Consider the following 20218-nt stretch of genomic DNA (forward strand, 5'->3'; position numbering starts at 1 on the left):
AATACCTAAATCTCTCCACTGGGATTAGCCAGCAGGAAAAGAAGAAGGCATCCCAGAGAAGCGGTTCTCAAACAGTTGGGTCTTGGGAACCATTTACAGTGTTAGAAATTATAGAAGACCCTAAAAGCTTTGTTTATGTGGATTATATCTTTCAATATTTGCCGTATTAGAAATTTTTTTGGCCGGGCGCGGTGGCTCACGCCTGTAATCCCAGCACTTTGGGAGGACGAGGCGAGTGGATCACGAGGTCAGGAGATCGAGACCATCCTGGCTAACACGGTGAAACCCCGTCTCTACTAAAAATACAAAAAATTATCCGGGCGTGGTGGCAGGCGCCTGCAGTCCCAGCTACTCGAGAGGCTGAGGCAGGAGAATGGCGTGAACCCAGGAGGTAGAGCTTGCAGTGAGCCGAGATCGCACCACTGCCCTCCAGCCTGGGCGACAGAGCAAGACGCCGTCCTGAAAAAAAAAATTTTTTTTTTTGAGGCCAGGCGCGGTGGCTCACGCCTGTAATTCCAGCACTTTGGGAGGCCGAGGCGGTTGGATCACTTAAGGTCAGCAATTTGAAATCAGCCTCGCCAACATGGTAAAACCCCGTCTCTACTAAAAATACAAAAAAAATGAGCCGGGTGTGGTGGCAGGCGTCTATAATCCCAGCTACTCAGAAGGCTGAGACAGGAGAATCACTTGTACCCGGGAGGTGGAGGTTGCAGTGATCCAAGATCGAACCACTGCACTCCAGCCTGGGTGACAGAGTAAGACTCTGTCTCAAAAAAAAAAAAAAAAAAAAAAGGCCGGGCACGGTGGCTCACACCTGTAATCCCAGCACTTTGGGAGGCTGAGGCAGGTGGATCACAAAGTCAGGAGTTCGAGACCAGCTTGACCAATACGGTGAAACCCCGTCTTTACTAAAAATACAAAAATTAGCCGGGTGTGGTGGCACGTGCCTGTAATCCCACCTACTGGGGAGGCTGAGGCAGGAGAATCGGTTGAACCCGGGAGGCAGAGGTTGCAGTGATCCCAGATTGCGCCACTGTACTCCAGCCAGGGTGAAAGAGCAAGACTCCATCTCAAAAAAAAAAAAAAGCTTTCTAACTTCTACTACAAAGGAAAAAAAATGGCATGTTTCTGTAGTCTCAGCTATTCCCAGCTTTTCTGGAGGCTGAAGCAAGACAATCACTTTAGTTCAGGAGTTTAAGACTAGCCGGGGCAACATAATGGGATCCATCTCAAGGAAAAAAAAAAAAAGCTATCAAGCCATTAGAAAACATGGAGGAACCTTAAATTCATATTGCTAAGCGAAAGAAATCAATGTGGAAAGACTACAAACTATGATTCCATCCATATGACATATATATATGTATTTTTTTGAGTCAAGGTCTTGCTATGTTGCCCAAGATGGTCTTAAACTTCTGGTCTCAAGCAATCCTCCTGCTCAGCCTTCCAAAGTGCTGGGATTACAGGCATGAGGCAGTGCGTTTGGCCCCAACTGTATGATATTCTGAAAAGGCTAAACTATGGAGATAATAAAAAGATCAGTGACTGCCAGGGAAGTGGAGTTGGGGGGAGGAAGGGATGGTAGGTGGAGCACAGGGGAGTTTTACAGAAGTGAAACTATTTTGTATGATGTAATAGTGTCATGGTGGATACATGTCATACTTGTGTGTGGAAAAGAGTAAAGCCTAATGTAACTTATGGACTTAGTTAATTATAATGTATCAATATGGACTATGTTTTTTTGTTTGTTTGTTTTTTGAGACGGAGTTTCCCCCTTGTTGCCCAGGCTGGAGTGCAATGATGCGATCTCGGCTCACTGCAACCTCTGCCTCCCAGTTTCAAGCGATTCTCCTGCCTCAGCCTCCTGAGTAGCTGGGATTACAGGCACCCGCTTCCACGCCCAGCTAATTTTTTGTATTTTTAGTAGAGATGGGTTTTCACTATGTTGACCAGGCTGGTCTTGAACTCCTGACCTCAGGCGATCCACCCGCCTCGGCCTCCCAAAGTGCTGAGATTACAGGCATGAGCCACCGCGCCCGGCTGGGCTATGTTAATAATATACCAATACTGGCTCATCAGTTGTAACAAATGTACCACACTAATGCAAAAAGTTAATAATAGGAAAAATGGGGAGCCTGAAGGGGGATATGGGAACTCTCGGTACTTTCTTCTTCTTCTTTTTTTTTTTTTCTTTTCTTTTTTTTGAGACAGAGTCTCCCTCTGTCGCCTAGGCTGGAGGGGCAGTGTCACAATCTTGACTCACTGCAGCCTTGTCCTTCTGGGCTCAAGTGATCCTTCAACCTCAGCCTCCCAAGTAGCTGGACTACAGGCGTGCACCACTGTGCCTGGCTAATTTTTTTTATTTTTTGTAGAGACGGGGTTTCACCATCTTGCCCAGCCTGGTCTCAAACTCCTGAGCTCAAGTGATCCTCCCTCCTTGGCCTCCGACAGTGCTGGGATTAAAGGCTTGAGCCATTACTCCCAGCCTGGAATTCTCTGTACTTTCTGCTCAGTTTTTCTGTAAGGCTAAAATTGTCCCCCCAGAATAGTCTGTTAATTAATTAATTAATTTATTTATTTATTTTGAGATGGAGTCTCGCTGTGTCGCCAGGCTGGAGTGCAGTGGCACAATCGTGGCTCACTGCAACCTCCGCTTCCCATGTTCAAGTAATTCTGCTTCAGCCTCCTGAGTAGCTGGGACTACAGGCGCGCACCACCATGCCCAGCTAATTTTTGTATTTTTAGTAGAGACGGGGTTTCACCATGTTGGTCAGGATGGTCTTGAGCTCTTGACCTCGTGATCCGCCTGCCTCAGCCTCCCAAAGTGCTGGGATTACAGGCCTGAGCCACCTCGCCCGGCCTAGTCTGTTAATTTAAAAACAACCATAGACTGGGCACAGTGGCTCATGCCTGTAATCCCAGCACTTTGGGAGGCTGAGGAGGGAGGATTATTTGAGCTCAGGAATTCGAGACCAGCCTGTGCAACATGGTGAAACCCCATCTCTACAAAAAATTACAAAAAATACAAAAATTAGCCAGGCGCAGTGGCACACGCCTGGAGTCCCAGCTACTTAGGAGGCTGAGGTGGGAGGACCGCTTGAGCCCAGGAGGTTGAGGCTGCAGTGAGCTGTCACTGTGCCACTGCACTCCAGCCTGGGCAACAGAGCAAGACCCTGTCTCAAAGAAAGAAAGAGAGAGAGAGAAAGAGAAAGAAAGAAAAGAAAAAAATAGGCTGTAATTGACTTACTGCTTGTATTCTTCTTCATCAAAGAATGCAATTGGACACTATTTGCTTTTTTGGGTGTGTGCATCAAAGGGATACTTGAAAGTGAAAAGAATGAGAGAAAGTATTTTAAAACCATATCTGATGAGGGTCTAGTATCCAGAATATGTAAAGAACTCCTGCAACTCAACAATGAAAAAGACAACCCAAATAAAAATAGGCAGAGGGGCTGGGCACAGTGGCTCACGCCCATAATCCCAAAACTTTGGGAGGCCAAGGTGGGAGGATCGCTTGAGGTCAGGAGTTTGAGACCAGCCTGGATGACATGGTGAAACCCCATCTCTACAAAAAAATACAAAAAAGTAGCCGGGTGAGGTGTCCACCCCTAGCTAATTTTTTGTACAGATCTGGTTTCTCCATGTTGCCCAGGTTGGTCTCGAACTCCTGATCTCAAGCAATCCTCCTGCCCTGGCCTCCCAAAATGTTTGGATTATGGGCGTGAGCCACTGCACCAGGCCAAAGGTTAGTTTAATTGCACAAGTGCTTTTTCTTGACAAACCATGAGACAACTATTATATGCAGAAGTGCTATATGCATATTTCCCATTTCTTCACACAAAATATTAAAAAGACATGTACTGTAGGGTCAAGATTTAATACAATTAATAATTTGTACTGCTTCATCAGGGATACTCATTTTTTTTTTTTTTTTTTGAGACCGAGTCTCACTATGTCGCCCCACTAGAGTGCAGTGGCACGATCTTGGCTCACTGCAACCTGACTCCCTGGTTCAAGCGATTCTCCTGCCTCAGCCTCCTGAGTAGCTGGGATTACAGGCACGCACCCACCATGCCCAGCTAATTTTTGTGTTTTTAGTAGAGAAGGGGTTTCTCTATGTTGGTCAGGCTGGTCTCGAACTCGTGACCTCAGGTGATCCACCCGTGTTGGCCTCCCAAAGTGCTGGGATTACAGGTGTGAGCCACCACACCCAGCTTCATCAAGGACGTTCTTAATAGAAAGTGGCATTTTTAAAAATTGCAAGTGCATGGCATTGAGGAATGCAATGGCTACTACTACAATTTGGTGCCATGGTCTTCATTCCTGCTTAGTTGCCAGCACTTTTACCCACCATTGCTTTTGCATCATCAGTACAAATGCTAGCTGTTAAAAAGGTAAATATCTCAGTATTACTACAGTAATTTTGTCTTTGAAGACCCCAGGAGTTTCTAGGCCATCCACCGAGAACTATTGTCCTAAAGGAAAAGAATGGCAGAGGTAGACATATAAAAGGGACTATTGGTACCAGATGGATTTCTAGCAGGAGGAATCACCAGGCAAACTGTGTTCCTGCTATTGAGGATATAGCTCATTTCTAGGTTATTCTAACAGGCAAGGCAGGTCAAGTCACTTTTTTTTTTTTTTGAGACCAAGTCTCACTCTGTCACCCAGGCTGGAGTGCAGTGGTGCAATCTCAGCTCACTGCAACCTCTGTCTCCCGGGTTCAAGTGATTCTCCTGCCTCAGCCTCCCAAGTAGCTGGGATTACAGGCGCCTGCCACCACGCCTGTCTAAATTTTGTATTTTTAATAGAGATGGGGTTTCACCATATTGGCCAGGCTGGTCTCAAACTGCTGACCTCAAGTGATCCACCCGCCTTGGCCACCCAAAGTGCTGGGATTACAGGTGTGAGCCACCATGCCCAGACCCATCTTTCTTTCTTTTTAGAGACAGGGTCTCACTATGTTGCCCAGGCTGGAGTACAGTGGCTATTCACAGGTGTGATCCCACTACTGATCAGCGTGGGAGTTTTGACCTGCTCTGTTTCCTACCTGGGCCGGTTCACCACTCCTTAGGCAACCTGGTGGTTCCTTGCTCCCGGGAGGTCACCATAATAATGTTGAACTTAGTGCAGATACCCGATGGGCATAGCACACTATAGCCCAGAACTCCTAGGCTCTAGTGATCCTCCTGCCTCAGCCTCCCAAGTAGCTGAGACTACAGGCACCTGCCACCACACCTGGCTTTTTTTTTTTTTTTTTTTTTTGAGACAGGTTCTCACTCTGTCACCCAGGCTGAGTGGCATGATCACAGCTCACTGCAGCCTTGACATCCTGGGTTCAAGCGATCTCCTCGCCTCAGCCTCCTGAGGAGCTAGGACTAGGCGTGCACCCCCATACCCAGCTAATTTCTTATATTTTGGAGAGGCAGGGTCTCACTATGTTGCCCAAGCTGGTCTCAAACTCTTGAACACAAGTGATCCTCCCACCTTGGCCTCCCAAAGTGCTGGGATTATAGGCATGAGTCATTGCTCCCAGTCTGAGATGTATTTCTTAATCCACTGTCAAATACTGGCCCAAACAAATTCAGTTTGGCTTAGGAAATTTGTATCCACTCGTCTAGGACTGCTCAATATTAATGCTTCCAGTAAATTCAGCATTTATGGTCTGTTATGTGCTAAGGACTGAACAAGTTACAGAGAGGGGGAAATGACTCAATTGTAGCCTCTGTCTTCTAGGAGTTAAATGGTAAGGAAACATGATAATAATAAAATAATTTAGAAATAATAGGATAGTAATAACAGTAATAGAATGTAGAAAGTCATAAATACTATTAAATGAGTGCAATGGAAGCATTGAGGAAGAAATGAATTACACTAGAGAAATCAGGAAAGCTTTTTTTGAGACAGGGTCTCCCGGTCTCACTTGGGCTTTGAAGGATGAGTGCAGTTTTAAAAGGAGAGAGGGAAATCACGTTCTTTTCAAACTTTTTTTTAATTTAAAAAATATTTTGGCCAGACCCGGTGGCTCACACCTGTAATCCCAGCAGTTCAGGAGGCCAAGGCAGGTGGATCATCTGAGGTCAGGAGTTCAAGACCAGCCTGGCCAACATGGTGAAACGCCATCTCTACTAAAAATACAAAAATTAGCCAGGTATGGTTGTGCATGCCTGTAATTCCAGTTACTTGGAAGGCTGAGGCAGGAGAACTGCTTAAACCCAGGAGGTGGAGGTTGCATTGAGCTGAGATCGTGCCACTGCCCTGCAGCCTGGGTGATAGAGTGAGACTCCATCTCTAAAATAAAATAAGATAAAATAAAAAAAAAATAAAATCGGCCAGGCGCAGTGGCTCACGCCTGCAATCTCAGCACTTTGGGAGGTTGAGGCTGGCAGATCATGAGGTCAAGAGATTGAGACCATCCTGGCCAACATAATGAAACCCAGTCTCTACTAAAAAAATACAAAAATTAGCTGGGCGTGGTGGCAGGCACTTGTAGTTCCAGCTACTCGGGAGGCTGAGGCTGAAGAATCACTTAAACCCTGGAGGCGGAGGTTGCAGTGAGCCAAGATCGCGCCACTGCACTCCAGCCTGGCGACAGAACGAGACTCTGTTTCAAAAATAAAATAAAATAAAATAATAAATATTTTGTACAGATGGGGTCTCATTATGTTGGCCAGACTCATCTGGAACTCCTGGCCTCAAGGCATCCTCCTGCCTTGGCCTCCCAAAGTGATGTGATTACAGGCATTAGCCGCCTTGCCCAGCTGGAGATCAAAAGTTCTTAATAGTCTTGGGTGAACAAGAGTATTCTGTATAGGAAACATACAGCTAATAGCTGGGCGCAGTGGCTCACGCCTGTAATCCCAGCATTTAGGGAGGCCGAGGTGGGTGGATCACGAGGTCAGGAGTTTAAGACCAGCCTGGCCAAGATGGTGAAACCCCGTCTCTACCAAAAATACAAAAATCAGCCAGGCGTGGTGGCGGGCGCCTGTAATCCCAGCTACTTGGGAGGCTGAGGTAGAGAATTGCTTGAACCTGGGAGGTGGAGGTTGCAGGGAGCCGAGATTGTGCCACTGCACTCCAGCCTGGGCAACAGAGTGAGACTCCGTCTCAAAAAACAAAACAAAAAAAAAAAAGAAAAGAAAAGAAAAGAAAAATACAGCTAATAAATGAGCTTGCTAACTCAGTATCTCCAGGTTTTCCTTTCAGGACCAATATACAAAGATTTGTGATATTTAGCATTCATTTATCCATAAAATAGGTCAAACTTTAGGAAAGAAATTTCTCTATAAATCTTTTCCAACAAAAATCATCTTTCTCTGTACTGTGGAGAAAGCAGCTTTCTTTCAGACTTCTCAGTTCAATATCTGAAACCTTTAGTGAGTTGCCTACATGTCTAGGACATATGTCATATACTACAAAGGGTACCAAAGTGAGGACTCAGTCCCTGCCTGCCTTTATAGGACTTAAGAGTGTTGGAGGGGTCAAATATGTATGACAAAGTATGTGAAAGATTCTTTAAAAGAAATAAAATGTGATGGAGATCAGAACAGGAACAAGTTAGCTTCAGTGGGGAAATCTCTAAAGCTTCATGGAGGCTATGTCTTAAATGTGAATAGAATTGTCATAAGCAGTGATGAGTGAAGGCCTTAGGGAAAGATATAGAAGGTGGATGGTGTACGACGTTTGAGAAAGGACATGTAATTTGGTTGACTGGAGGGCTGGGAGGTGAATCTAATGGGAGAGAAGTTCAGAAAAGCAGGTTGAGAACAGTCTTGGAATGCCATGCTAAGAAGTTTGGGCTTTATCCTGGAGGCAGGGTGGAGCATACAATATGTGTTTCTGGAAGATAGCAATCAACCACAGAGGGGTAGATGGGAAAAGAAAGGTGAATTTAGAGGGGATTGGAATTGTCCAGGGAAGAGATCGTGCTGCTGGCATTAACCAGGAGGCAGGAGCTGGTGGACCAAGGAGGTGGTGGATATGAGAGGCACGACCAAGAATGAACCAATTGCCTGATTTTTGTGCCCTTGTAAAAAATTTTTTTAAAAAAGTATGAACTAAGGCTTGGTGACGACCTTGCATGTGAAGGATGCTTTGTGGTTCCTAGCTTGAGAAGCGGGTAGAATGGGAGTCCCACCCAGGAGGAGGAACATGGAGAAAAGATAAAGGGTTTGGTTTGGGTGTTGGAGGTGTCTGTGAACTGTCCAGGGCATTGGAGAGGCAGCATTGGTAGTTGAGGGAGAGGCCCGGGCTGGAGATAATAAATTTGGGGATTTTTCATAAATGGCTATTGAAGCCGTAGAGGCACTGCACTTCCCTATAGGGAGACCAGGGTTTTCTCAGCCTCAAAACAATTGCCATTTTGGTCCAGATTCTTTCTTGTGAGAGGGTGTCCTTTGCATTGTAGGATATTTTAGCAACATCCTTGGCCTCAACCCACCAGATACTAGTAGCACCCCTACCCCCAGCTATAACAACCAAAAATGTCTCCAGACATTGTGAAAAGACCCCTGAAAGGTAAAATAACCCCTCTGAGAAACACTGCTCTAAAACAGAGTGGTTCTCTTCAGAAGTCGGAAGAAAGATTGCCAACGGGCCGGGCATGGTGGCTCATGCCTGTAATCACAGCACTTTGGGAGGCCGAGGCGGGCGAATTGCAAGGTCAGGAGATCAAGACCATCCTGGCTAACACGGTGAAACCCTGTCTCTACTAAAAATACAAAAAATTAGTTGGGCGTGGTGGCACATGCCTGTAGTCCCAGCTGTTCAGGAGGCTGAGGCAGGAGAATCGCTTGAATTCGGGAGGTGGAGGTGGCAGTGAGCCGAGATAGTGCCACTGCCCTCCAGCCTGGGTGACAGAGCAAGACTCCATCTCAAAAAAAAAAAAAAAAGAAGAAAAGAAAAAGATGGCCAAGGGCAGAATCTCTGTGTTCTAGGGGCACATTCAGAGAGGAAGAGGGCACATTAGGAGACAGGTGGGATGGCCAGCAGCATAACAGGCTACAGAGAGAAGGTTTGGAGACAGAAATGAACCTTGGCAGTGGTGAGAACTTCATGATCCTTCAGGAATCAGGTTCAGTTGAGCCTCCTGAATGTACCTTTTCCTTGTTCTCCAGCTTTTTTCCTCTGAGATATAGGAGTAAACTGCCCACCTGGGGCATAAATCAGAAGACTGGGATATATGCCAAGGGTTATGTACCTGAAAGTTTGCTTGGTTGCCTTTTCAGGTGGTAATATTCCCTTTCTCTTAGTTTCTCATTCAGTTTTCTCCATTAGTGTCCTTTTTCTCTTTTCTTTCTTTCTTTCTTTCTTTTTTTTTTTTTTTGACGGGGTTTCGCTCTTGTTGCCCAGGCTGGAGTGCAATGGCACAATCTTGGCTCACCACAAACTTCACCTCCCCGGTTCAAGCGATTCTCCTGCCTCAGCCTCCCTAGTAGCTGGGATTAGAGGAATGTGCCACCACGCCCAGCTAATTTTTTGTTTTTAGTAGAGACAAGGTTTCACCATGTTGGCTAGGCTGGTCTTAAACTCCTGACCTCAGGTGATCCACTTGCCTTGGCCTCCCAAAGTGCTGGGATTACAGGTGTGAGCCCCTGTGCCCCGCCTTTTTTTTTTTTTTTTTTTTTTGAGATGGGGTCTGGCTCTGGCTCTGTGAACCAGGTTGGAGTGCAGTAGGGCACGATCTCAGCTCACTGCAGCCTCCGCCTCCAAGCCTCAAGCAATCCTCCCACCTCAGCCTCCCGAAGTAGCTGGGACTACAGGTGTGGTCACCATGCCTAGTTAATCTTTACATTTTCAGTAGAGACGGGGTTATGCGGTATTGGCCAGGCTGGTCTCTAACTCTTGGTCTCAAGTGATCCGCCCGCTGCAGCCTCCCAAAGTACTGGGATTACAGGCATGAACCACTGCACCCAGCCTATTCTTAATCCTATTTTGCAAATGAAGTGACTTGCCCAAAACTGCACAGCCAGGGGTAGTAGTGTAGAAGAGCAGGAGGTCAGATGTCACCCTAGTCTTTTTATCACACAGGGAATTGCTAGGAAGCTGGGGCTTTATCCTGGAGGCAGGGTGGAGCATATTTAAATATCTGTTTTGGGAAGATAGCAATCAGCCACAGAGGAGTAGATGAGAAAAGAAAGGTGAGTTTAGAGGGGATTGGAATTGTTCAGGGAAGAGATCATGCTGGCATTAACTAGGAGGAAGGGGCTGGCATTAACTAGGAGGAAGGGGCTGGCATGGAAAGGAGGAGGTGTATATGAGAGGCACAACCAAGAATAAACCAAGATTTGGCCCATTGCTTCTTGGGCTACAACTCCTATAACCAAGCAGTTCAGCAGTTTTTCCTTACAAAGTCACTTCACTGAATATATATATATATATTATGTTTGAGGCTGGGGCGGTGGCTTACACCTGTAATCCCAGTGATTTGGGAGGCCGAGGTGGGCAGATCACTTGAGGTCAGGAGTTCGAGACCAGCCTGCCCAACATAGTGAAACCTCGTCTCTACTAAAAATACAAAAATTAGCTGAGCATGGTGGCGCATGTGCCTGTATTCCCAGCTACTTGGGAGGCTGAGGCAGGAGAATCACTTGAACCCAGGAGGCAGAGGTTGCAGTGAGCCGAGATTGCGCCACTACACTCCAGCCTGGGCAACAAGAGCAAAACTCCTTCTCAAAAAACAGAAAAAGAAAAAAGAAAAAGACAGGGTCTCACTATGTTGCTCAGGCTAGTCTCGAAATCCCAGGCTCAAGCAATCCTCTCACCTCAGCCTCCCAAAGTGCTGGGATTACAGGTGTGAGCCACTGCACCTGGTCTACTGAATTTTTTGAGTGCTAAGCACAGATGATGAGGTAACTGAGGCTTAGAGTTGTTATGCAAGTTTGTCCCAGGTCATGTAAATATTAAGGTATGGATCAGCCACCATGCCCAGTGATAAGCCACATTACAATATGTATTTTAACATTTTTCACTAATCACATAATTTACATTTTTCTACTGGCCAAATTTTAAAAGTAAGAGAAACAGGGCTGGATGCAGTAGCTCATGCCTGTAATGCTAACACTTTAGGAGGCTGAGGCAGGAGGATCACTTGAAACCAGGAATTTGAGGTTACAATGAACTATGATTGTGACACTGTACTCCAGCCTGGGTGACAGTGAGACCCTGTCTCAAAAAAAATAAATAAATAAATAAAAATGAATTTTAAAAAATAAAGAAACAGGTGAAATTATTATTATTATTATTTTTTTTTTTTGGAGACAGTCTCACTCTGTTACTCAGGCTGGAGTGCAGTGGCGCCATCACGGCTCACTGCAACCTCTGCTTCCCAGGTTCAAGTGATTCTCTTGCCTCAGCCTCCCGAGTAGCTGGGATTACAGGCAAGCGCCACCACGTCCAGCTAATTTTTGTATTTTTAGTAGAGACGGAGTTTCACCATGTTGGCCAGGCTGGTCTCAATCTCCTGACCTCATGATCGGCCTGCCTCAGCCTCTCAAAGTGCTGGGATTATAGGTGTGAGCCACCATCCCCGGCTGAAATTAATTTTATTTATTTTATTAATCTTTTATTTAACTCAATATATCCAAACATTATTTCGCCACATAATCAATATATAAAATTATTATTATTATCATTATTAGTGACAGGGTCTATCTCTGTCTCCCAGGCTGGAGTGCAGTGGCACTATCATAGCTCACTGATGTCTCACACCCCTGGGCTCAAGTGATCCTTCTGTGCTAGCTCTCCAAGCAGCTAGGACTATGGACATGCACCACTATGCCTGGCTAATTTTATTTTATTATTTATTTATTATTGGTTTTTTTTTTTGAGATAGAGTCTCACTCTTGTTGCCCAGGCTGGAGTGCAATGGTGTGATATCGGCTCACTGCAGCCTCCACCTCCCGGGTTCAAGCAATTCTCCTGCCTCAGCCTCCCGAGTAGCTAGGATTACAGGCATGCGCCACCATGCCTGGCTAATTTTGTATTTTTAGTAAAGATGGGTTTTCTCCATGTTGGTCAAGAGCTGGTCTCGAACTCCCGACCTCAGGTGATCTGCCCATCTCGGCCTCTCAAAGTGCTGGGATTACAGGCGTGAGCCACGGTGCCCAGCCAATTTTATTTTTTTAATTTTACTTTATTTTTATTTTATTATTATTATTATTATTATTATTACTTGAGACAGAGTCTCACTCTGTCGCCCAGGCTGAATTGCAACGGTGTGATCTCGGCTTACTGCAACCTCCGCCTCCAAGGTTCAAGCGACTCTCCTGCCTCAGCCTTCCGAGTAGTTGGGAATACAGGTGCCCACCACCATGCCCAGCTAGTTTTTGTATTTTTAGTAGAGATGGGGTTTCGACATGTTGATCAGGCTGGTGTCAAACTTCTGACCTCAGGTGATCCACTGCCTCGGCCTCCCAAAGGGCTGGGATTACAGGCATGAGCCACTGTGTCCAACAGTTTTATTTTTTTATAGAGACAGTGTCTTGATATGTTGTTGCCCAGGCTTATATATAATATTTGCTGAGCATGGTGGGTTATGCCTATAATCCCAGCACTTTGGGAGGCTGAGGTGGGAGAATCACTTGAGGTTTGGAGTTTGAGACCAGTTTGGACAACACAGCAAGACACTGTCTCCAAAAAAAAAAAAAAATTAACTGGACATGGTGGCCCTTGCCTGTAGTCCCAGCTAACTGGGGAGGATGAGGTGAGAAGATTGCTTGAGCCCAGGAGTTCAAGGCTGCAGTGAGCTTGAACACACTGCACTGTACTCTAGCCTGGATGACAGAGTGGGACCCTGCCTCTAAAAAAAAAAAAAAAAAGCTACAGGGGTCCGAAGTTTGTTTAAAGCTTTTAAAAAGGCATTTGTGGCCGGGCGCGGTGGCTCACGCCTGTAATCCCAGCACTTTGGGAGGCCAAGGCGGGCGGATCACCTGAGAGGTCAGGAGTTCGAGACCACCCTGACTAACATGGTAAGACCCTGTCTCTACTAAAAATACAAAAAAATTAGCCGTGCCTGGTGGCATGCACCTGTAGTCCCAGCTACTAGGGAGGCTGAAGCAGGAAAATCGCTTGAACCTGGGAGGCAGAGGCTGCAGTGAGCCGAGATAGCGCCATTGCACTCCAACCTGGGCAACAAGAGAGAAACATCTCAAAAAAAAAAAAAATTATTTGTGTCTGGATGTGGTGGCTCACACCTATGATCCCAACACTTTGGGAAGCTGAGGAGGGAGGATTACTTGAGAACAGGAGTTTGAGACCAGCCTGGGCAACATGGTAAGACCCCCATCTCTACAAAAAGTTTTAAAATAAATTAGCCAGACATGGCGGTTCGCACCTGTAGTTTCAGTTACTGGGGAGGCTGAGGCAGGACGATCGCTGTAGCCCAGGAGTTCAAGGCTGCAGGGTGCTACGATCATGCCACTGGACTCTAGCCTGGGTGACAGAGGGAGACTATCTCAAGAAAACAAAACAAAATAAACAAACAAAAAAAGTGTTTGTTGGAGAAGCTGACATTTCCTCCTTGGAACTGATTTCTTCTGGAATGGGTCAAGAATGTTCGTTCCCTTCTGAATGTCCCTGTTATTGTTCTTCTGTCTTGATAAACACTGTCAAGGAAGATCAGATTTTCTCTGGCCTGGAGCCAGGTTAGTGGAAAAATCCTTTGCCTTGGGCCCCCTGCTCTGGTTCACTGGGGCAGTCCTCTGATCACTGACTGGGATCAATTACCTCTGCGGTAGCCCCTAAAGGGAAATGCAGAATTGCTGAACTCTGGAAGGGAAGGAGAGGTTTGGTGAGCCATCATTATAGACACTGTGCTAGTGGCATTGCACTGCACATGCTATCTTTTTGCTTCTTTTTTTTTTTTTTTTTTTGAGGCAGAGTCTTGCTCTTGTCACCCAGGCTGGAGTGCAATGGCATGATCTCAGCTCACTGCAATCTCTGTCTCCCGGGTTCAAGCAATTCTCCTGCCTCAGCCTCCTGAGTAGCTGGGATTATAGGCAACTGCCACCACGCCTGTTTATTATTTTGTATTTTTAGTAGAGACAGGGTTTCGCCATGTTGGCCAGGCTGGTCTTTAACTCCTGACCTTGTGATCTGCCCGCCTCGGCCTCCCAAAGTGCTGGGATTACAGGCGTGAGCCACCACGCCCGGCCTCTTTTTGCTTCTTACCAGCACCATCTGAGCTAAGCATCAGCACCTGCAAACTCCACAGAGGTGAAAAGTTTCCCTGAGGGGCCTGTAACTAGTAACCCAGAACTTTCTGAATCAGAGCCCAGGATCACAGTATTCCAGACTTCAGGGATTTTAGTGCTTTCTGCCACCCAGGGACCTGGGAACAAGTGTTATCCAGCAATACATTTTCATAACTGCATTTTGTTTCCCTGTGAGCTAGGCCTGGCATGGTTGATCTCAGTCTCTAGAAACTGGAGTCAGATATTCAAGACATTACAAGGAGATGGCTGGTGGGGCATCATGGCTCCTAGGACTTTGGGAGGTTGAGGTGGGAGGATCGCCTGAGCCCAGGAGTTTGAGACCAGCCTGGGCAACATGGTGAGAACTCGTCTCTATTTAAAAAAAAAAAAAAAAAAAAAAAGGCTGCCCTTTCTAGATCAGGAGGTCCAGCCTCTGGAAACCTCGGAGGGCTGCTTGATCTTTCTTTTCTAATTCCTGACAAGTTAGAAGACCTTTGGCTTCTGAGAACCCTATTACTTTAAGTTTAAGCTCTTGTTTGGGAAGCCACTGGGAGGACAGTGAAGAATGCCCGCCTACCTGGGGAAACCTGAGTTAGGTGTGGCTGGAGCGACTCGAGATGCGAGGTGGGCGGGGGCAGGCTGAAAGTTGGAGCAAGCAGGAAGTGAACTGAGGGCCACCCTGGGAGGAAGCCGACTAGGCGAATTCACTTACTGACCGGCCTGGGCTGCTCTGAGACATGGTGAGCCAACTGGGAACTAGGAAAGGGCTGGTTTAAAGAGGAGCCAGAGGGGGCTTGGGACTGGGGGTTGGCTGTGTCGGGGGAGGAGAGTTGGTGGCAAAGTTAGAGGGCTGGGCCAGTGCTGCTATGGCCTCTCTTCTTTGACAACTTGGCTGCAAATAGCTCTGAGCTGTCCTGGCAGGTGTTTCTACTCCTTCTCCCTCCCTCCCCTGACCTCTGTGCTGGTGGGGAGCTGGGCTTCCGTGCCAGCGCCGATGGGGGCTCCGAATTCCAGGCAAAGAGTTGTTGTGCCTTCCTCCTCCAGGGAGCCCGAGGCGGGTGTTGTGACACCACACCAGGCAGCGCCTGGGCAGTTCCCAGTTCAGATTCCAGCCCAGCGGCAGAAGCTCTCCTCTCCGGCCTTTCACTTTATCCCCACACAGAAACACAAAGGATTTGTGTGTCCACTGAGTCCTTTGGGTGTCCTTTCTCCATTAACATGGAGAAGAGAACTAAAGGTTTATAAGAGAACCAGAAGTTGGTTCTCTGTGATAATGTAGTTCTGACCCATGCCACTGGCCTATTTTTGGAGGTCAAGCGGGGAGGAGCTAAATACTATTTTTCTCTCCTTGTTCAAAAACCTTGTCATGAAGCCTCCGAGATGAGACATCAGCCAGGGAGGACTAGTCCTCCATTTCCCCCAACACCCAGGCGGGTATTTTTATTTAATATCTGCATAAGCAGGCGGTTGCTTGGTGCCTGCACGTGTCGCCCAGTGGTGGGGAAAGCAGAAGTGTGTGGCTCAACGGCTCCAGGCGCCTTCTGGGATACTTGGTTGCCTGTTGTTCTGGGTCACAGCAATGGCATTGCGGCCAGGGCCGTGCTCCGGCAGCTGGCTTAGAGGGACAGATGGGTGGGGCTGGGTGAGGGTGTTCTGCTGGCCAGCACAGACACTTTCAACCAGGGTCCCAAGAAATCAGGAAAGGGGGGTGGCTCTGGGAATTGTAAATAGTGGCGGGCTCTGCTCTGGAAGGGAACATTGTGAGATGCTGGCCCTGCTGTATTCTACGGCCCTCTCTAGGGAGCAAGGAAGCAGTGGGGAGGGATTTAGTGATGTGCTGCTTTTCCTTGTCAGGGGCCCTAATAACCCCAAAAGAAGTTTGATCTAGTCTGTTCAGCATCACATCTCACCTTCTGGGGCTTACAAATGCATTTATTTTTGATTACAGAAGTAATACATGAAAACATTCTCTTTGTAAACATTTCAAGCATTTTACAAAAAGCTTAAGTCTGCCTGAGGCCTTACCCTCCCCAGATCTCTGAGCCCAAGTCTCCAGTTCCCCCACCACTTGGTCTAATTAACCCCGTGTTGCCGCACAGGAGGAAGCCAGTGAAGGTGGAGGAAATGATCGTGTGCGGAACCTGCAAAGTGAGGTGGAGGGAGTTAAGAATATTATGACCCAGAATGTGGAGCGGATCCTGGCCCGGGGGGAAAACTTGGAACATCTCCGCAACAAGACAGAGGATCTGGAAGCCACAGTGAGACAGGGAGCCCACTGGGGGCTGGAGGAAAACAGGGAGGGAGGGAATTTCTTTTTGGTGGGGCAAAATGGACAGGAGGGCCAGAAGTTTGACATTTCTGTTGCCTTTCACCTGGTTTGGGAGCTGATGTGAGCTGAGTCTCCACTTCTGAATCTGCTCTGCTCCACAGATTGTTATGGATCCCAGGGAATGGATCCCATGACTGGGGCTTGAGGTGGCAGCTCGCCCATAGAGGCATGTTCTGAGACCGAAAGCTCAGTCAGCCCATGCATTCTCAGGCTTCTCTCCCGGGAAACTTGTTTTCCCTTTGAAGCCTGCCCATGACAATCATCTGGGTCTGACCTTCCCAGGGCAGAAATATTGGCTCTGAGGAAACCCCCGCTGTGGCCTCTAGCCTTCTCTAGGAGCTGTTAGACAAGGGGTGGGAAATTGCTGGCGTCTTGCTGAGTAGGCTTTAAAAAGAAGGGGGAAAGAGCAGTGAAATGCTTTGATCCCAGGGTCCCCTGCTAGATGAAGGCTAAAATAATATCTCCCACACATCTTGCTAGACCTCATTCTTCTCTCTCTCCAGCCAGGGGCTGAGGCCAGCTGTTTCAGGGAGGAAGTAACTCCAAAGTTGAGCAAAGTCTGGAGCCTCAAGTTCTGTGTTCAGCGGGGAGGCTGGCTCTGGCTTTCTGAGTCCTGTGTGAACTCTTGGCTCTTGGGTATTGCTCCCTTGTCTCCCTGGGGCTCATTGCCTGTTTCTGTAGCTTAATTGTAGCTTAATTTGGGGAGCATGGCCCCGGGAATTTTTTTTTTTTTTTTAGACAGAGCCTCACTCTGTTGCCCAGGTTAGAGTGAGTGCAATCTTGGCTCACTGCAAACTTCACCTCCTGGGTTCAAACGATTCTCGTGCCTCAGCCTCCTGAGTAGCTGGGATTACAGTGTGCACCCCCACACCTGGCTAATTTTTTGTATTTTTAGTAGAGACGAAGTTTTGCCTTGTTGGCCAGGGTGGTCTTGACCTCCTGACCTCAGGTGATCCACCTGCCTTGGCCTCTCAAAGTGCTGGGATTACAGACTTGAGCCACCATGTCTGGACAAGCCCCAGGAAATTTAGTGTCTATAACTTGAATTGCTGGGCATGGGGAAGAGTGGGTGGAGGAGGAGGAGTTCCCTTACTTCCAACCCTCTATCCTGTCCTGGTCCCTCCTCCAGCCTCAGCAGTCCCGATGGGGCAAGGAGTCCTGGAGCTGCGAGATGTGCCCACCTGGAGCCTGCACCCCTCAGTCCCAGGGTCTGCCCTCCCAAGGGCAGATTTTGCTGCCAGTGTTGTACCCTTGGGTGTAAGCAGGTGTCGAGGACCCCTCAGTGTGCAGGGGTAAGAAGAGAAAGGGGACCCCTAGTCATATCTAGGTGGAGACCTCCTAGGATCCTGAGAATTCTAAATTTCAACCCGGCCTTCCAGATTTTTAGGAAGGTACATTTGTCAAGGTAGGCAGATACAGCATTTTTTTTTTTTTTTTTTTTTTTTTGAGATGGAGTCTTGCTTTGTTACCCAGGCTGGAGTGCAATGGCGCAATCTCGGCTCACTGCAACCTCCGCCTCCCAGGTTCAAGTGATTCTCCTGCCTTAGCCTCCTAAGTAGCTGGGATTACAGGCGTCTGCCACCACACCCGGCTAATTTTCTTGTATTTTTAGTAGAGAGGGGGTTTCACAATGTTGGCTAGGCTGGTCGCGAACTACTGACCTCAGGTGATCCACCAACCTCGGCCTCCCAAAGTGCTGGGATTACAGGCGTGAACCACCGCACCCGGCCAGAGCATCTTTTATTTAGCAGTTTGTTACCTCAGCTTACAGTGTCAGTATTAAGATGTATGGCTTGAGCTGAACGTGGTGGCATGTGCCTGTAGTCCCAGCACTAGGGAGGCTGAGGTGGGAGGATTGCTTGAGCCCTGGAGATGGAAGCTGCAGTGAGCTGAGATTGTGCCACTGCACTCCAGCCTGGGTGACACAGCCAGACACTGTCTCAAAAAACAAACAAACAAGGCCAGGCGTGGTGGCTTACGCCTGTAATCCCAGCACTTTGGGAGGCCAAGGCGAGTGGATCACCTGAGGTCAGGAGTTCAAGACCAGCCTGGCCAACATGGTGAAACCTCCTCTCTACTAAAAATACAAAAGTTAGCTGGGCGTGGTGGTGGGCACCTGTAATCCCAGCTACTCAGTAGGCTGAGGCAGGAGAATCAATTGAACCCAGGAGGTGGAGGCAGCAGTGAGCCAAGATCGAGCCACTGCCTGAGTGACAGAGCGAGACTCCATCTCAAAAAAAAAAAAAAAGTATGGCCTGTGGGCTGCACTTGTACTCTTATAATCTTGTTCCAGTGGGAGGAGCCACTGGGTCACTCACTCTGCCTTTTCCCCAACAGTCTGAGCACTTCAAGACGACATCGCAGAAGGTGGCTCGAAAATTCTGGTGGAAGAACGTGAAGATGATTGTCCTTATCTGCGTGATTGTTTTTATCATCATCCTCTTCATTGTGCTCTTTGCCACTGGTGCCTTCTCTTAAGTAACAGGGAACCTCTCCCACCTGCCCTTCTCTTCAGGGACAACCCTCCATAAATGTGTGCCAAGAGGGTCTCCTTTCCTGTCTTCCTCTACAGAGAATGCTGCTCGGTCCTCCTACCCCTCTTCCCGAGGCCCTGCTGCCATGTTGTATGCCCCAGAAGGTACCTTGGTCCCCCGGAAGGAGAGAAAAAAGAGAGATGGACTGTGGCTGCATTTCTTGGGTCCTTAGAGTGGGCTGGAGAGACCTAGAGGGCCCAGCATGTGGCTGGGAAACTGTTGGTGGCCAGTGGGTAATAAAGACCTTTCAGTATCCCTATATGTGTGAGGCACTTTCTCTCTTCCCATTTTGCCTTTGGCTTTTCTATTTCTTTTCTTCCTGAGGATACCTTCTGGCTAAAATTCTCTCATCTGAGGTCCAAGTTGTTGGAAGGGCAAAGAGTATATGTTTGGAGAAGAAAGTTGGAGCCCCCACCCTGTCTTTATTCCTCCCAGTTCCATTCATTGTCACAGGTCTCAAGAACAAGAATTTTCTGGGAGTCTTGGCATATGGAAAGTTCAAAACCTTCATAGCATTTTGGGGTGGTATGCAAGATTTTTAAGTGTTCCCATTGGGTCCTGCCATGGCCCTGTAGTACTCTTCTTCTGGAATTGTTAGCTGAGGCATGAAGCTGGTTGAAATCCTCCTGCCTCTTCCACCAGAGCCATCTCTCTTCAACGACCCTGTAGTCTAGAGCCGAGGGGTGGAGGAAATGGACTGCTATTCCTTTCCTTGTGCTTCTGCATGTTTTATTTGTCTTTTCTCTGTCCTTGTCTTCTGGGACTTAGCAAGGCCTCTGGGTCTCAGTTGTCCTGAGGGGGCAAGCATCTCTCCTTGGCATCCCATGGCTGGGCACAGTCAGTCAGTCAGTGTCACAGGACAGGGCCAATGGCTCTTCTTCCCCTCTGTGCACAATAAGCCTTTCTGTCTTCAGGCCCCCCTCCTCCCTACCAGGTTCCACCATCACTGTCACTTTTTCCAGTGCCCAGTCCGCCTTGGTTTGCAGGGAGGGTTCTTGCTATCTCTGTTCCTGTTTCCTCCACAGGCTTTCCAGAATTGGAAACAACCTGTTGTCAGGAAGAAGGGGAAGGGTTGAGAGTCAGGGTTTGGGACCAGATTGGCAAGTCAGGCTCTGGAAGAATCATGCTCTGAAATTTGGGGAGGGAGGAGGAAAGGTCAGAAAAGA

At 47.7% G+C, this 20218-nt stretch overlaps 1 protein-coding gene and 1 pseudogene across 2 annotated transcripts, besides 7 other annotated features; one reads left to right on the forward strand and one right to left on the reverse strand.

Annotated features, from left to right (window-relative positions):
- Positions 4154-4672: an enhancer, noted in NCBI's record as "NANOG hESC enhancer chr2:85793997-85794515 (GRCh37/hg19 assembly coordinates)". NCBI's record gives its function as "activates a minimal SCP1, AML or CMV promoter by ChIP-STARR-seq in naive H9 embryonic stem cells {active_cell/tissue: H9 hESC(naive)}" and the evidence as "EXISTENCE:reporter gene assay evidence [ECO:0000049][PMID:30033119]".
- RN7SL126P (RNA, 7SL, cytoplasmic 126, pseudogene) lies at positions 4942-5240 on the reverse strand (annotated as a pseudogene).
- Positions 14718-14997: an enhancer, noted in NCBI's record as "active region_16131". NCBI's record gives its function as "activates an Ori minimal core promoter by ATAC-STARR-seq in GM12878 lymphoblastoid cells {active_cell/tissue: GM12878}" and the evidence as "EXISTENCE:reporter gene assay evidence [ECO:0000049][PMID:35858748]".
- On the forward strand, positions 14866-19311 carry VAMP8 (vesicle associated membrane protein 8). 2 transcript variants are annotated; one of them, XM_017005170.2, is made up of 4 exons: positions 14866-14929; positions 16289-16447; positions 17022-17154; positions 18856-19311. In XM_017005170.2, the coding sequence occupies exons 1-4, from the start codon at positions 14927-14929 to the stop codon at positions 18858-18860; spliced, it is 300 nt and encodes a 99-aa protein (XP_016860659.1). In that variant the 5' UTR covers positions 14866-14926; the 3' UTR covers positions 18861-19311. The 2 variants fall into 2 exon arrangements, with proteins under 2 accessions (XP_016860659.1, NP_003752.2); NM_003761.5 differs by lacking the exon at positions 17022-17154.
- Positions 15758-15897: an enhancer, noted in NCBI's record as "active region_16132". NCBI's record gives its function as "activates an Ori minimal core promoter by ATAC-STARR-seq in GM12878 lymphoblastoid cells {active_cell/tissue: GM12878}" and the evidence as "EXISTENCE:reporter gene assay evidence [ECO:0000049][PMID:35858748]".
- Positions 16158-16297: an enhancer, noted in NCBI's record as "active region_16133". NCBI's record gives its function as "activates an Ori minimal core promoter by ATAC-STARR-seq in GM12878 lymphoblastoid cells {active_cell/tissue: GM12878}" and the evidence as "EXISTENCE:reporter gene assay evidence [ECO:0000049][PMID:35858748]".
- Positions 16934-17587: an enhancer, noted in NCBI's record as "NANOG-H3K27ac-H3K4me1 hESC enhancer chr2:85806777-85807430 (GRCh37/hg19 assembly coordinates)". NCBI's record gives its function as "activates a minimal SCP1, AML or CMV promoter by ChIP-STARR-seq in primed H9 embryonic stem cells {active_cell/tissue: H9 hESC(primed)}" and the evidence as "EXISTENCE:reporter gene assay evidence [ECO:0000049][PMID:30033119]".
- Positions 17588-18242: an enhancer, noted in NCBI's record as "H3K27ac-H3K4me1 hESC enhancer chr2:85807431-85808085 (GRCh37/hg19 assembly coordinates)". NCBI's record gives its function as "activates a minimal SCP1, AML or CMV promoter by ChIP-STARR-seq in naive and primed H9 embryonic stem cells {active_cell/tissue: H9 hESC(naive and primed)}" and the evidence as "EXISTENCE:reporter gene assay evidence [ECO:0000049][PMID:30033119]".
- Positions 18243-18896: an enhancer, noted in NCBI's record as "H3K4me1 hESC enhancer chr2:85808086-85808739 (GRCh37/hg19 assembly coordinates)". NCBI's record gives its function as "activates a minimal SCP1, AML or CMV promoter by ChIP-STARR-seq in naive H9 embryonic stem cells {active_cell/tissue: H9 hESC(naive)}" and the evidence as "EXISTENCE:reporter gene assay evidence [ECO:0000049][PMID:30033119]".

This window comes from Homo sapiens, chromosome 2 (assembly GCF_000001405.40).
Source record: "Homo sapiens chromosome 2, GRCh38.p14 Primary Assembly".
Taxonomy (NCBI): domain Eukaryota; kingdom Metazoa; phylum Chordata; class Mammalia; order Primates; family Hominidae; genus Homo; species Homo sapiens.